We start from the raw sequence: 15,054 nt of genomic DNA on the forward strand, positions 1-15,054 counted from the left end.
TGATCAGATAGATATCCCAATTACCCTGATTTCATCATTACATGTTATATGCACATATCAAAATATCACATGTACCCTGTAAATATGTGCAATTATTATGTATCAATCAAAACAATAAAAAGTGGCTTCAAAGATAATGGAGAGTGCACAAGGTAAGAAAAGAAATCCTGATCAATAACTGGATATATTATTCATGCTCTTAATTGGAAAGAATACATATTTTATAGATTATCTGAAGGATATTCAATTAAGTATTTTGTGTTTGTCATGGCTGACAATTTATCTCAGAATACTTTCAATTAAAACCAAGAGTCATGTCCTTTGTAGGGACATGGATGAAACTGGAAACCATCATTCTCAGCAAACTATCGCAAGGACAAAAAACCAAACACCGCATGTTCTCACTCATAGGTGGGAATTGAACAATGAGAACACATGGACACAGGAAGGGGAACATCACACACCGGGGTCGGGGGAGGGGGGAGGGATAGCATTAGGAGATATACCTAATGCTAAATGACGAGTTAATGGGTGCAGCACACCAACATGGCACATCTATACATATGTAACAAACCTGCACCTTGTGCACATATACCCTAAAACTTAAAGTATAATAATAATAAAATTTAAAAAAAAAACAAAACCAAGAGTCCTTCGAAGCAGGGTTCTCAGGCTGCAGGGAAACCTCCTTTTCTTTCTCTTCCCATTGCCCATCTACTCAGCCTTAGGGTTGCTGCCTGCAGCCCATTGATATGACAGATATTTACACCCAGCAAACAGACAAACCAAGACTTAGTTCCGTTTGTTACTGTCACTGATTCAATCTACAGTCTCCATGGAAAACTTAATCACCAAACTAGTGACAGAAAGAATAATTGGTATTTGTCCAGCTGCAAATGCTGTCTGGAAGTCAAGTGAGAACTCTTAGCTAAATTCTTAAGCTAACTAGCCGTCATGGAAAATGTCCTTACATGAGAAATAAATAAACCCTGTCAATGGATCATTTATATCACAGCTGGCACCCATTATGGCACTCACAGATCATCGTGCTTCAGTCTGGCTTGTGAAGACCACCGGGCTCCTCCACAATGATTAGATAAGGCCTAAGTAGGTTCTGCTGTAGCTGCTGATGCTGAACAAGATGGTAAATGGATGCTCCACGCTGACATATGCTGACATTAGTCCCAGAAACATCACTCTCCATAGCTCTTCATGATAACTTCATTCACAATAATTCCAAGAGCAGAATAGATTGACTTATCAGAATGGGTCTCTGGAATGCATGATACTGAGGATTGTGCAACAACAGCTGGGCTGACTCTTGTGGATATGCCCACAGGCTCGGGGGAGCAAAGCCAAATAGTCATAATCTTTGAACATTGCATTTGCAATATCCCTGATGTGGCATTTATCACTTCCAGTCAGCACATTATGAGTGGCTGAAATGATTAAAACTAATGTTGAAAACTACTCTCATTATTTTCTTAATATAGCAAGAGGCTGAAACTTTGTCCTTTTATTTCTTTTCTCTCTGTCATCGGCTTTCTTTGCCACCTAAAAAAAAATGCAGGTACCCAGGCACAACTTACATCTGCTTGTTTCAGATTAGAGCAGAAGGGAATATGTTCACTCATCATCCCCATGCTCATATCACAAGCTCCAAAAACAGAGCTTTTGTGCTCTCGCTTCTTGCCACAGACATATCAAGACAGAGGATCTCAATGAGAGAATCAGTGCACAACCAAATGGTATATAGATGAAGTAGCAGAGAGTGGCCCGGGCAAAGAGTGAAATTACCTGAAGTTCTGGAGACACACTCCTACTGCAAACTCTTTGCATCAACATATAAGACTTTCCTCTTCGTACTCTGCAAAAACAGAGGAGGATACCACTCTGCTAGGTAGACTGATGCTACCATTCCCTGCTTCCACCAGACCTGAGTCTTACTGAGCTACAAAACTAGATGAGACCTAAGAGAGCAGATGGGATTGAAGATGAATGAACTGACAGCATCTGTGAATACCTCCGGATAGTACTGCAATCATCATCACACTAGGAAGCATCAGTCATTGTTCTGTTTGAATTTGTTATGAAAATAAAACCTCCACAGGATGGCTAGAGAAGTCCCCAGTGTCTATAGTTTTCCCTCACAAGAGCCTTTCACCTGATCCTGATTCAGATCCAGATCTGGAGATGGGAGTATCTCCCCATACTAAGCTTTATCCCCAGCCCCAGAGAAGATAAATCCTTCCTTCTCTTTTTCCAGAGTCTTTTCTTCATTATGCATTTCTAGGAGTCTGTGAGTCACTCATTGTTATCAATACATCAAGTAAAATAATTTCTGATACTGCCCAAATTAATTTATAGATTCAATGCTATACCCATCAAGCTACCACGGACTTTCTTCACAGAATTGGAAAAGAACTACTTTAAATTTCATATGGAATGAAAAAAAGGCCCATATAGCCAAGACAATCCTAAGCAAAAAGAACAAAGCTGCAGGCATCACGCTACCTGACTTCAAACTATACTACACAGCTACAGTAACCAAAATAGCATGGTACTGGTACCAAAACAGATATACAGACCAAAGGAACAGAACAGAGGCCTTGGAATAACACCACACATCTATAACCATCTGATCTTTGACAAACCTGATGAAAACAAGCAAGGGGGAAAGGATTCCCTATTTAATAAATGGTGTCGGGAAAACTGGCTACCCATATGCAGAAAACTGAAACTGGATCCCTTCCTTACTCTTTTTACAAAAATTAACTCAAGATGGATTAAAGACTTAAATGTAAGACCTAAAACCATAAAAACCCTAGAAGAAAACCTAGGCAATACCATTCAGGACATAGGCATGGGCAAAGACTTCATGACTAAAACACAAAAAGCAATGGCAACAGAAGTCAAAATTGACAAATGAGATCTAATTAAACTAAAGAGCTCTGCACAGCAAAAGAAACTGTCATCAGAGTGAACAGGCAACCTACAGAATGGGAGAAAATTTTTGGAATCTATCCATCTGACAAAGGGCTAATATCCAGAATCTACAAAGAACTCAAACAAATTTACAAGAAAAAAACAAACCACCCCATCAAAAAGTGGGCAAGGGATGTGAACAGACACTTCTCAAAAGAAAACATTTATGCAGCCAACACATATATAAGAAAATGCTCATCATCACTGGCCATCAGAGAAATGCAAATCAAAACCACAATGAGATACCATCTCACACCAGTTAGAATGGCGATCATTAAAAAGTCAGGAAACAACAGGTGCTGGAGAGGATGTGGAGAAATAGGAACACTTTTACACTGTTGGTGGGACTGTAAACTAGTTCAACCATTGTGGAAGTCAGTGTGGCGATTCCTCAGGGATCTAGAACTAGAAATACAATTTGACCCAGCCATCCCATTACTGGGTATATACCCAAAGGCTTATAAATCCTTCTACTATAAAGACATATGCACACATATGTTTATTGTGGCACTGTTCACGATAGCAAAGACTTAGAACTAACTCAAATGCCCATCAATGACAGACTGGATAAAGGAAATGTGGCACATATACACCAAGGAATACTATGCAGCCATAAAAAAGGATGAGTTAATGTCCTTTGCAGGGACATGAATGAAGCTGGAAATCATCATTCTCAGCAAACTAACACAAGAACAGAAAACCAAACACCACATGTTCTCACTTATAAGTGAGAGTGGAACAATGAGAACACATGGACATGGGGGGGGGGGGGCATCACATACCTGGGCCTGTTGGGGTGTGGGGGGCTAGGGGAGGGATAGCATTAGGAAAAATACCTAGGAGATGATGGATTGATGGGTGCAGCAAACCACCATGGCACATGTTTGCCTGTGTAACAAACCTGCACGTTCTGCACATGTACCCTGAACTTAAAGTATAATAAAAGATGGTAATAATAATAATAATTTCTGTGCCAATTCTGTGGGAATGACACAGCCATATTTGCAGGAAGATATTTTGATTGAAAATAATTAAACACCACTAAAATTTCACAGATATTTTAAAAATATTAAACATGCACCTAAGAAGGAAATACTATGATTCAAAGCACATTGGGGAAGTATTATAAGTAAAATCTTCAATATTATTGAAAATAGCCCAGGTTGAGATTATAATATAAAGAAAGGATGGGTAAGTGTGTCCCCAAAAAGCCAAAGGTCATTCATTGATCTGCAATGGAAATTCTAAGATTGCTGAATCATTTTATAGATGAAGAAACAGATTTAGAAAGATAAAGTGACTCGCCTGATAATAAGCTGCATCACACAGATACATCAATTCATCCTAGATAACAACCTAGACAGCTGATGCATTTGCACATTTGCCTCTTCAGATAAACTATTCTCAAGGGAACTTACTGTATAAGAGGAATTTTACAGGGTTTTTTTTTTTTATTATTATACTTTAAGTTCTAGGGTACATGTGCACAACGTGCAGGTTTCTTACATATGTATACATGCGCCATGTTGGTGTGCTGCACCCATTAACTTGTCGTTTACATTAGGTATATCTCCTAATGCTATCCCTCCACCCTCCCCCTACCCCATGACAGGCCCGGGTGTGTGATGTTCCCCACCCTGTGTCCAGGTGTTCTCATTGTTGAATTCCCACCTATGAGTGAGAACATGCAGTGTTTGGTTTTCTGTCCTTGCGATAGTTTGCTGAGAATGATGGTTTCCAGCTTCATCCATGTCCCTACAAGGGACATGAATTCATCCTTTTTTATGGCTGCATAGTATTCCATGGTGTCTATGTGCCACATTTGCTTAATCCAGTCTGTCACTGATGGACATTTGGGTTGGTTCCAAGTCTTTGCTATTGTGAATAGTGCTGCAATAAATATACATGTGCCTGTGTCTTTATAGCAGCATGATTTATAATCCTTTGGGTATATACCCAGTAATGGGATGGCTGGGGGAATTTTACAGGTTTTATATGATCCCTAGACCAAATGTATGAAGTAGCTACTGATATTCCCATTACACAGATGACCTTGAGCAAAGTTGAGTAGTCTGCTTGAAGTTTCTAAGGTATTAGCTGGGGAGCTAAGAGTCAGACCCAGATCTGTCTACCTAAAGTTTATGCCCTATTCCATAAATCATTTTCTTCCTAACCAACAAGTTTGCACTTAACTGCTTTATGCCCACATATTGATGTCCAAATTGATTATGGGCCTGGGGCTTCAAATTAGCTGTTACTAACCCACCTCACCTCTGGACAGGGGAAATCAAACTTCTGGCCAACCACACTCGAAGTCAACTCTTTCTCCATGGTTCAGTCAACAGGCATCCCAGAAGCAAAATTTGCTAAGAACCATAGACAGAGCTGTCAATGCAGACTCCCTGAATTTGGAAGCAGATACAGTCTAGTCAATTTATTGTACAACTATTTTTGGTGAGGAATTGGTACTACAAAGGGTTCCCTAAGAGCTAGGTTTAGCCTTTGAATGCTATAGCTGGACAGAACCCGAGGGATGATTCAGTCATCAGAGTTGTTGTCTGATGCGGTCACGAGGGAGTCTGACTCCTTCACCCTACCACATCCCCACTCCCAAAGATGTTTTCAGTATCTACTTCTAAAGTTAACATACAGTCCCAAAAGCCATAGTCTTTTGTAATATGCCTGCTCTTCAACCAACTCACTCATTTCCTTGTATCAAAGAAAAATATTTATGTCCTCAAGGAGGCACAAACAAACATAATCTCTGGAAGCATTTTCACAAGAGTTTAAACAATTGTTACATGACTTGTTAAATAGCCAGAATATGGAATATTATTTATTAGTTTAAAAGTATGAGGTAGATCTGTATAGTATAGTTACTTGAAAAGATTTCCAAGATATATCATTAAGTGAAAATGCAAGTTGCGAAAAATGTGTACACATCATATGATTCCCCTCTACACAAACCAGCACAAAAATGAAACCAATATATTTGTATATGTACATATAGTATGTCAATACATGACAGTTGTCTGACATAATGCACACTAAATTGTTACAAGTAGTTATTTCTTGGGAAAATAAAGGGAATGATGAGAAGAAGGAAAGAGAGCATTTCACTTTTTATTCTCCATGCTTATATATTATTTGATTTTTTGAAAATGTGAATGTATTCATATATTTATTGTGAAAGTGTGTTCAGAAGAGTTTTTTTAACCAAATGTTACCTTTTTAACATGCAAGGAATTACCGAAGGATAAAAGACATAGTAGACTTATTAATAAATTCCAAATGACTATCCCAAGAACCATATGTAATTCCAGGTAAGTTACCTTTAAAAAACAAAAAAATAAACAAAATAAGTGAAGATGAGTCTCTTTATTATGTGTGTTAGTTAGCAACAGAACCAGACAGTAGAATTAAACATCACCCCACTTTAAGATAAATGTATGAAAATATCACAGGAGAAGGGGGGTAGGATATATGAGTTAAAAATCTAGTCATTCCGCTCCGTAATATTTTAGCCTTGCTGCATGAAATAGAATGAGCACTCAAAAACAGCTGCATTCCCAAACATGGATCTGTTTCTGGTTCAAACTCAGACATAGACCCTTAAATTGAGGTCAGGACATCCTGGGCTCTGGATTGCTCTGGCAGTAGTGACATTGGCCTTTTTAAGAGTATCATGCCTATAAATAAAAGGACGCATTAAAAGGAACCTTGAAAACTTGATCTAAATTATCTCATTTGGTCCTTATACTATCACTGTGAAGGGAGGGTAATTGCACTCATTTGATTGAATCTTCAACCAAGACTCTAATAGGTTAGAATTTGAAGAGATCTCAGAGATACAAAAATACACTGCTTTAAAAAAAAATTGAGCACAGATAAGGAGCGCAAGCCCTAGAGACATGAAGTGATTTGTCCTCTGCTAGATAAGAATGGAACCCAGACCTTTGACTGTTAGCTCTTTCACTCCATGATACCAATACATGGACTGGTAAATGCTTTGTCTTCAATCTTCTCTCTCACATAAAGTTGGGTCAGGGACCATGGGAAATTCTGTTTTATCTTGAATAGTTCAGATAGAACAATAGTCACACATGTCACCAAGCCCATCCTTACTTAATAAGCCTAACTCCCAAAGCATCACTTAATTGGTCACAAATCTGCAGCTGCCTCAGAGCACATGCCTCATCCACCTCTCCAACTATTTCTGTCAAGAAATAATAAAACTCTTTCTGCTCACCCTGAAAATGATTTCCTTTGCCATTCTTTCTTTCTTTCTTTTTTTCTTGAGAGGGAATCTCACTTTGTTGCCCAGGGTGGAGTGCAGTGGCACGATCTCAGCTCACTGCAACCTCCGCTTGCCGGGTTCAAGCAATTCTCCTGCCTCAGCCTCCCAAGCAGCTGGGACTACAGGCGGGAGCCACCATGCCTGGCTAATTTTTTGTATTTTTAGTAGAGATGGGATTTTGCCATGCTGGCCAGGCTGGTCTCAAACTCCTGACCTAGTGATCTGCCCGCCTCGGCCTCCCAAAGTGCTGGGATTGATTATAGGTGTGAGCCATCGCGCCTGTCCTCTTTGACATTCTTGAACCATGTTGACTTTTTATAATTACGAAGGGAGATGACAGCTTACCAGAATATCAGCTTGATTCAAGTTATATGAATTCATCACATGAAATATGGATTCACTGCATCAGACTGTATACCTATTGATCAAAAATATTTCATCTCTGTAATCAGCAGCAAGGTTTTGCCATTGCTATTATTACCACTGCATGCGCTGGTCTAGCATAAATTCTGAATCGCCCAGCACCATGTCAGCATTGGCATCCATGTTAGTCAGACTCATCATGGCTGTGTGGTAAATGAGTTTGGGTAGCTACTGTTGGGAGTTTATTTGTGATGAGATGATAAAAGATGGGAAAGGAGAAGTGAGAAACAGAGCCTGTGATAAATGAAAGGGCTGTGTCAATTAGAGATCTTAAATAAAGGCTGGATTTTGGCAGAATAGAATTAGAGTCACAGGAAAAGCTAAAAAACAAAACTTAGAAACTGGGTAGAAAGAAGGGATGTTAAATAGCAGCCAGACTACAGCTAAACTTTGCCGCAAGGTGAATACGGTGAGGACACTCCCATCACCATCACCAAATACTGGCCACCACTGCTGCGTTTCTCCTCGGACCCCAGATGGTGCCACCATACAGCTCTCACTGCTGAGCTGCTATACCTGCCCCAGGATGGGCTCCCAGAGTTCCTCTTCATTGGATCACAAGCTCCCAATTTTCAGTCCAGGGAGGAGTTTCTGATTAGAAGTGCCTTAGGTGTAGGCATTCTACTTAGCAGCAAGAGTCAGGAACCTGACAGCAGGAAGCAGGCTCTGCCTCCCAGTAATGGGCATTTCTGGACATTTCTCAAACGTGGGAAGGGACCGCAGACATTCAAAAAAGATGGGTGCTAAATACCCATGTAGCACTCCCTTTAGATGCCCAATATAACATACAGATTAATGCTTGGGAGAGGAGGAGGTAAGAAGTGGCTCTATTTCAATCATGTAACCATCTTCCCTACCACCCAAAATGTGCTTACCCTCTTCTCCAAAATAAGACAAGCTAGGTGTAATCGGTTCGTAAATTTAGTTCGTAAATCCTGGAGCTCTGGGTAATATTCATTTTCCCATGAATTCTATCTTGTCACCATCTCAATATTTTATAACAGACGGAGTAAACTTCAAAGTTAAAATTACCAATATACCCTTTATAAAATAGAAGGATAGGAAGAGTGGAAATAAAAAACTAGGTAATTCAAATATATGAATATATGTGCTTCAGCAAGAAAAAATTTAAGTAGGTGCTACCAACCTCATTTCTGCCCTAGCCACAAGGTCATAGTGACTTCTAGAGAAGTCACTATGACTTCTCTCTTCTATTTTACCAATTTCATTTTCCCCATTATGTTTGGCCAAAACCTCAGCCAGATGGGATTCTTTATTATGTATAATGACCTCATTATGTAAGAAGTCTGAGCCGTAGGTATTCTACATGGATTGGATTGTTGTCAAAATCTATTAATTGACTTAGTAGAATAGGAGGTAACATAGAGGATCCCCTGGACTTTCATTCAAAGTTTATACCTCTGAAAGTATCAACTCTATATCCTCTTGACAATCAGGATCAATCACCTCAACCAACACCAAAATCTCATCTCTTTTTTGTTGTCCGTTTGCTCATTGGCAAGAGGAGCCTGAAATGATTAGGTGACAGCCTCAATTTCCAAGTCAATGGAGTTACTGCTGTGCTCCCTAGTGGAAATATTCTTAAAATCAAAGGGAATGTGTTGTTGAGCCCATGTAAAATCTCCATCCCTGTCATCATGTCCTTTTTGTTCAGGAATCCATTGAGAAAGTACTAGAAAGATTAGGGAATGTACTTGACTGACATTCACAGAGCCAGTCACTTTGCCTTCCTGATTAAGAGCATCCTCCTTACTTGAGGGCTTTGGGGAGGAGGGTCTAGGAGGAGGGAGAGGAGAGGAAGGGGAGAAATTACAAAATAAATATTGTATAGCTTTCAACCAACTAGAGAACCAGACTTGGAAAATGGGCAGAAACAAGGAAGGTTGGAGCAATCAGTGTCACACTTTGTCCTCCTCCCCATCTTCTCCCAAGAAAAGACTTTTCTGTGAGGACACCATTCCTGCCCACCACTGTCTGTCGGCAATGGACGAGAGATGCCACAGCTGCACCACTGCCTCCAGTGACTTGAAACACAGTGTTGTGTGGCTGCGGCCACTCTTCCTCCCCCCAGAAAAAAATTCTCTATGGCCCCTACTTCTTCATCTGTTTACCTCTTAATTCAAGATCTGAGGCTGATGCTTCTGATCAGCAAATCAATGCTAGCTCCCATGCCCATGCTCAGGCTACAACGGCAAATAAAAGGCAGAGGTGAGATTTTCAGCTTCCATAAGGGTAAGCTAGGTTTACTCACAATCAAGACTTAAAAGATAGGGAATTTTCAAACATAAGAAGAGGTTCAAATGCTAAATAAAAGAAAAAAATAGACAAATGTCTACTACAAAGTTGGGGGAGGGTAGGGAGTCACTTGATTTATTGTATTGGAGGAGCCAAGTATCACACAAACCAGATCTAGAACTGAGTATCATCGGTATACACTGGCTCAAGGCTCTGCGTGCACATCAGCTGATGTTAGCCCTAGGGAGAGAAAGAAATCAATGTTGAATTGCTATTTTTCAAACTGTCAATATTTTTACTGTGCTGTGGTCACAGTTTCAATTATATAATTCAGAGCTTTCCACATTGTTCATCATTTGATGACAATAAAGGGATATTCTGGCCCTTTTGCTTGGTTTTTATTTCTCAGTCTGAAAGAGAAATGTATGTTTGATTTCAGGTGATTGATATGGTGTTTCCCTTCTTGTGTCTTTTTCGCTCTTGTTTCTTACATACTATATTATTTCAGCAAGTAGGGACTATATCTAAAATTTATTGTTTCCACATTCTTAAAAACTTTACACAATTTCGTTTCTAGTTATGAGAGAAGTTGATTATCTCCTAAGGAATGTGCATTTATCATTGTAGCTAGTTCGGAGGACCAGCCTCTCATTTATGTTACTGACAGCCAATGCTCCTCACGGACAAATCTTTCCCAGACCTTTCTTATTCTGAATAAAGAAAATTTGGAGCGCAGTTTGCTCAAGGTCTACTTTTCATTCAGAAAAACTATATATATATATATATATATACTGACTTCTTAGTTTTGCATCTCTGATATATCTTGTTTTTCCTTTAGTGTCATTAGGCTTCCTCTTGTAACAGTCTGTGCCCACATCCAGTTTTCTCATTACAATATCTTGCATTTATATTATGTTTCACAATTTTGCAATTTTACAGGTAAAGAAGTAGACCTCCAGCAAGACTGAATAACTAGCTCTAGACCATGCCACTAGCATGTGGTGGAATCAAGATTCAGATGCTGGTTTACTTACTCCACATCCCTGCTTCTCTCAGTCCACTTAGCCTGATATACAGTAAGTGCTCAAAACATGTTTGTTGGATACAAGGATAACCTGGAAATTACATAGAAATGCATTAAAACATATTTTATCTTCTGTGGGTAATCTTTGGTTACACAAGTCTGGCATATTTAAATAAATTGATTAAAATTTGCTATTGGGGCCGGGCGTGGTGGCTCACGCCTGTAATCCCAGCACTTTGGGAGGCCGAGGAGGGCGGATCACGAGGTCAGGAGATCGAGACCATCCCGGCTAAAACGGTGAAACCCCGTCTCTACTAAAAATACAAAAAATTAGCCGGGCGTAGTGGCGGGCGCCTGTAGTCCCAGCTACTTGGGAGGCTGAGGCAGGAGAATGGCGTGAACCCGGGAGGCGGAGCTTGCAGTGAGCGGAGATCCCGCCACTGCACTCCAGCCTGGGCGACAGAGCGAGACTCCGTCTCAAAAAAAAAAAAAAAAAAAAAAAATTTGCTATTGGTATTCACTGAGTGCTGGTTTAACATCTAGATTCCCTGGAACTTCCAATTCATTAGAAGCCCAAAGAATCAGATCAGAATCATTCAGATAAGTTTTAGAAACACTCTTTTCAGCCAACCAACTACCAGGAAAACATGGAGTTTGGTCCAAGGAGAATAGGACTGGATGTCAGGGAAGACAGTAAACTTCCTGAATCGTTTCATCTGGAGACCAATAGGAAGTAAAAACAACCATCAACTGGCAAGATAATATTTTCCTTTTGTAGCAATAGTCCCTGTCTTTACCAATTTTTAAATAACTCCAAAACCAAGTGATTTTTTCACCCTTTTCATTTGTATATGTTGGCATTCTAGAGACATGGCCTAGGTCATACAAAATGATTATTCCTCTAGCACTTCAGATGATGCACATATCAGGGCTTATATTCATTTCCTAGGGCTGCCATCACAAAGTACCACAAACTGGGTGGCTTAAAATAGCAGAAATTTATTATTTAACAGTTCTGCAGTCCAGAAGTCCTAACTCAAGTTGGTAGGGCCATGCTTTCTCTGAAGACTCTAAGGATGGATCCTTCCTTGTGTCTTCCAGCTTCTGGTGTTTGCTGGCAATCCTTGGTATTCCTTGGCTTGTACAGGCAGCATTCCAGTCTCTGCATCCATCTTCACGTGGCCTTCTACAAAAACTGAGTCCAAATTTCCTTCTTCTTCTAAGAACACCACTCATAGTAGATTTAGGGAACTTATTTTTAAAACCCCATCTTAGCTAAATTTCATTTGCAAAGACTCTATTTCCAAATACAGTTTCTAGGTAGACATAAATTTTGGGGAGACGCTATTTAAGCCAGCACAGAGGTTAAGAAATACTCACTCACTCAGAAAAGGAGTATCTCTGCCAAGAAGGAAATTCAGAAAAAATCACTTTGCAGAATGATTCCTCCCTCAATCTTTCAGTTATAAATGGAAAACATTTCACTCCAAACAAAGAATGTAAGCTATTTTCCCACTTCATTAATGTTTTTCCTTCAGAATGTTACCACATTTTCTGATCAAGTATTTCTATGATATAGATAATTAGACGCATACTTATAGTTTTAACCATGTCTCCCTCCATAATACTTCATGTTTCTTTATCCTCTGAAATTATTGCTTTTTTCCAGATTGACTAGCTGTTCAAAAATCCAGTAAGACTCTTGGTTGCCAAGGACTGGCAGCGAATACCATTCCCAGGGAGTTCCTAACCAGGACTATGGCTAAAAGTATGCAACGTACAGGATGAAACCCTTTTCAAGCCTCCCTCCCCAGAGACATCATTGTTTATATAAAATCTGGTTAAAATCAACACAAAGACATTTTTAGAGGGACAAAACACAGATTGTCTGAAAAGGTGCATGTTGCTCTGCTTGGAATAAAGAAAAGCTACAAAAACCTACAACTTTTATCATACTTAATGGTGAGAAACCAGATGATTTCCCCTAAGATTGGGAATGAGGCAAGGATTCTCCTCTCACCACTCCTATTCAACATTGTACTGGAAAATTTAGCTAGAAAAATAAGACAATAAAAGGAAACACATCTGTATATAAATTGAAAAGGAAGAAACAAAACTTTATTTAGTTGCAAATGTCAGTATTTTCTGTCTAGAAAATCCCAAAGAACTTTGTAAACGTTCTACCAAGCAAGTACAACTGGTCCTCCATATTTGTGGGTTTCGCATCTGTGGATTCAACCAACTGCAGATGGAAAATATTTGGGAAAAAAATGGATGATTGTGTCTATACTGAATATGTACAGATGTTTTGTCATTCCTCCCTAAACAATGCAGTAGAACAAGTATTTACATAATGTGTATATTTATTAGGTATTACAAGTAATCTATAGATTATTTAAAGCATATGGGGGGATGTGCCTAGGTAATATGCAAATACTATACCATTTTGTATAACGGACGAGAGCATTTGTGGATTTTGGCTCTGGTCTGCAGCTCCCAGCGAGACCAATGCAGAAGGTCGGGGATTTCTGCATTTCCAACTGAGGTACCCAGTTCATCTCATTGGGACTGGATAGAGAGTGAGCACAGCAGATGGAGGGTGAGCAGAAGAGGGTGGGGCGTAGCCTCACCCACGAAGTGCAAGGAATGGGGGCTTTCCCTCCCCCAGCCAAGGGAAGCTGTGAGGAACTGTGCTATCCAGCCCAGATACTACACTTTTCCCATGGTTTTTGCAATCCACAGACCAGGAGATTTCCTCATATGCCAACACCACAAGGGCCCTGGGTCTCAAGCACAAAACTGGGAGGCTGTTTGGGCAGACACTGAGCTAGCTGCAAGAGTTTTTTTTAATTTTTTATTTAATTTAATTTGATTTTTTTCGTACCCCAGTGGTGCCTGGAATCCCAGCAAGACAGAACTTTTCACTCCCCTGGAAAGGGGGCTGAAGCCAGGGAACCAAGTGGTCTCACTCAGTGGGCCCTAATCCCACAGAGCCCAGCAAGCTAAGAACCACTGGCTTGAAATTCTTGCTCCCAGCACAGCAGTCTGAAGTCAACCTGGGAAAATGGAGCTTGGTGGAGGCAGGGGCTTTTGCCATTACTGAAGCTTGAGTAAGCGATTTTCCCCTCACAGTGCTAAGGAGGCTGGTAAATTAGGACTGAGCAGATCTTACCACAGTGCAGCAAAGCGGCTGTGGCAAGACTACCTCTCTAGATTCCTCCTCAGTGGGCAGGGCATTTCTGAAAGAAAGGCAGCAGCCCCAGTCAGGGGCTTATAGATAAAACTTCAGAGCACCTGGGGGAAGGAGCAGTTGTGGGCACAGCTTCAGTGGACTTAAATGTTCCTGATTGCCAGCTCTGAAGAGAGCAGCAGATCCTGACAGGGAGAATTCTCCCAGCACAGTGCTCGAGCTCTGCTAAGGGACAGACCACCTCCTCAAGTGGGTACCTGACCTCCATGCCTCCTGACTAGGAGATACCTCCTAGCAGGGGTTGAGAGACACCTCATACAGGAGAGCTCTGGCTGGCATCAGGCTGGTGCCCCTCTAGGGCAAAGCTTCCAGAAGAAGGAACAGGCAGCAATCTTTGCTGTTCTGCAGTCTGCGCTGATGATACCCAGGCAAAAAGGGTCTGGAGTGGACCTCCAGCAAACTGCAGCAGACCTGCAGAAGAAGGGCTTGACTGTTAGAAGAAAAACTAACAAACAGAAAGCAATAACACCAAAATCAACAAAAAGAACCCCCACACAACAACCCCATCCAAAGGTCATCAGCCTCAAAGATCAAAGGTAGATAAATCCACAAAGATGAGAAAAAAAATTGCAAAAATGCTCAAAATTCAAAAAACCAGAGTGCCTCTTCTCCTCCAAATACAAACTACCATCAGAGAATACTACCAAATACCAAATGACTGCAACTTGTCTCCAGCAAGGGCACAAAACTGGACAGGGAATTAGTTTGATGAATTGACAGAAGTAGGCTTCAGAAGTTGGGTAATAACAAACTCCTCTGAGCTAAAGGAACATGTTCTAACTCAAAGCAAGGAAGCTAAGAACATTGATAAAAGGTTAT

This window comes from Homo sapiens, chromosome 13 (genome assembly GCF_000001405.40).
Source record: "Homo sapiens chromosome 13, GRCh38.p14 Primary Assembly".
Taxonomy (NCBI): domain Eukaryota; kingdom Metazoa; phylum Chordata; class Mammalia; order Primates; family Hominidae; genus Homo; species Homo sapiens.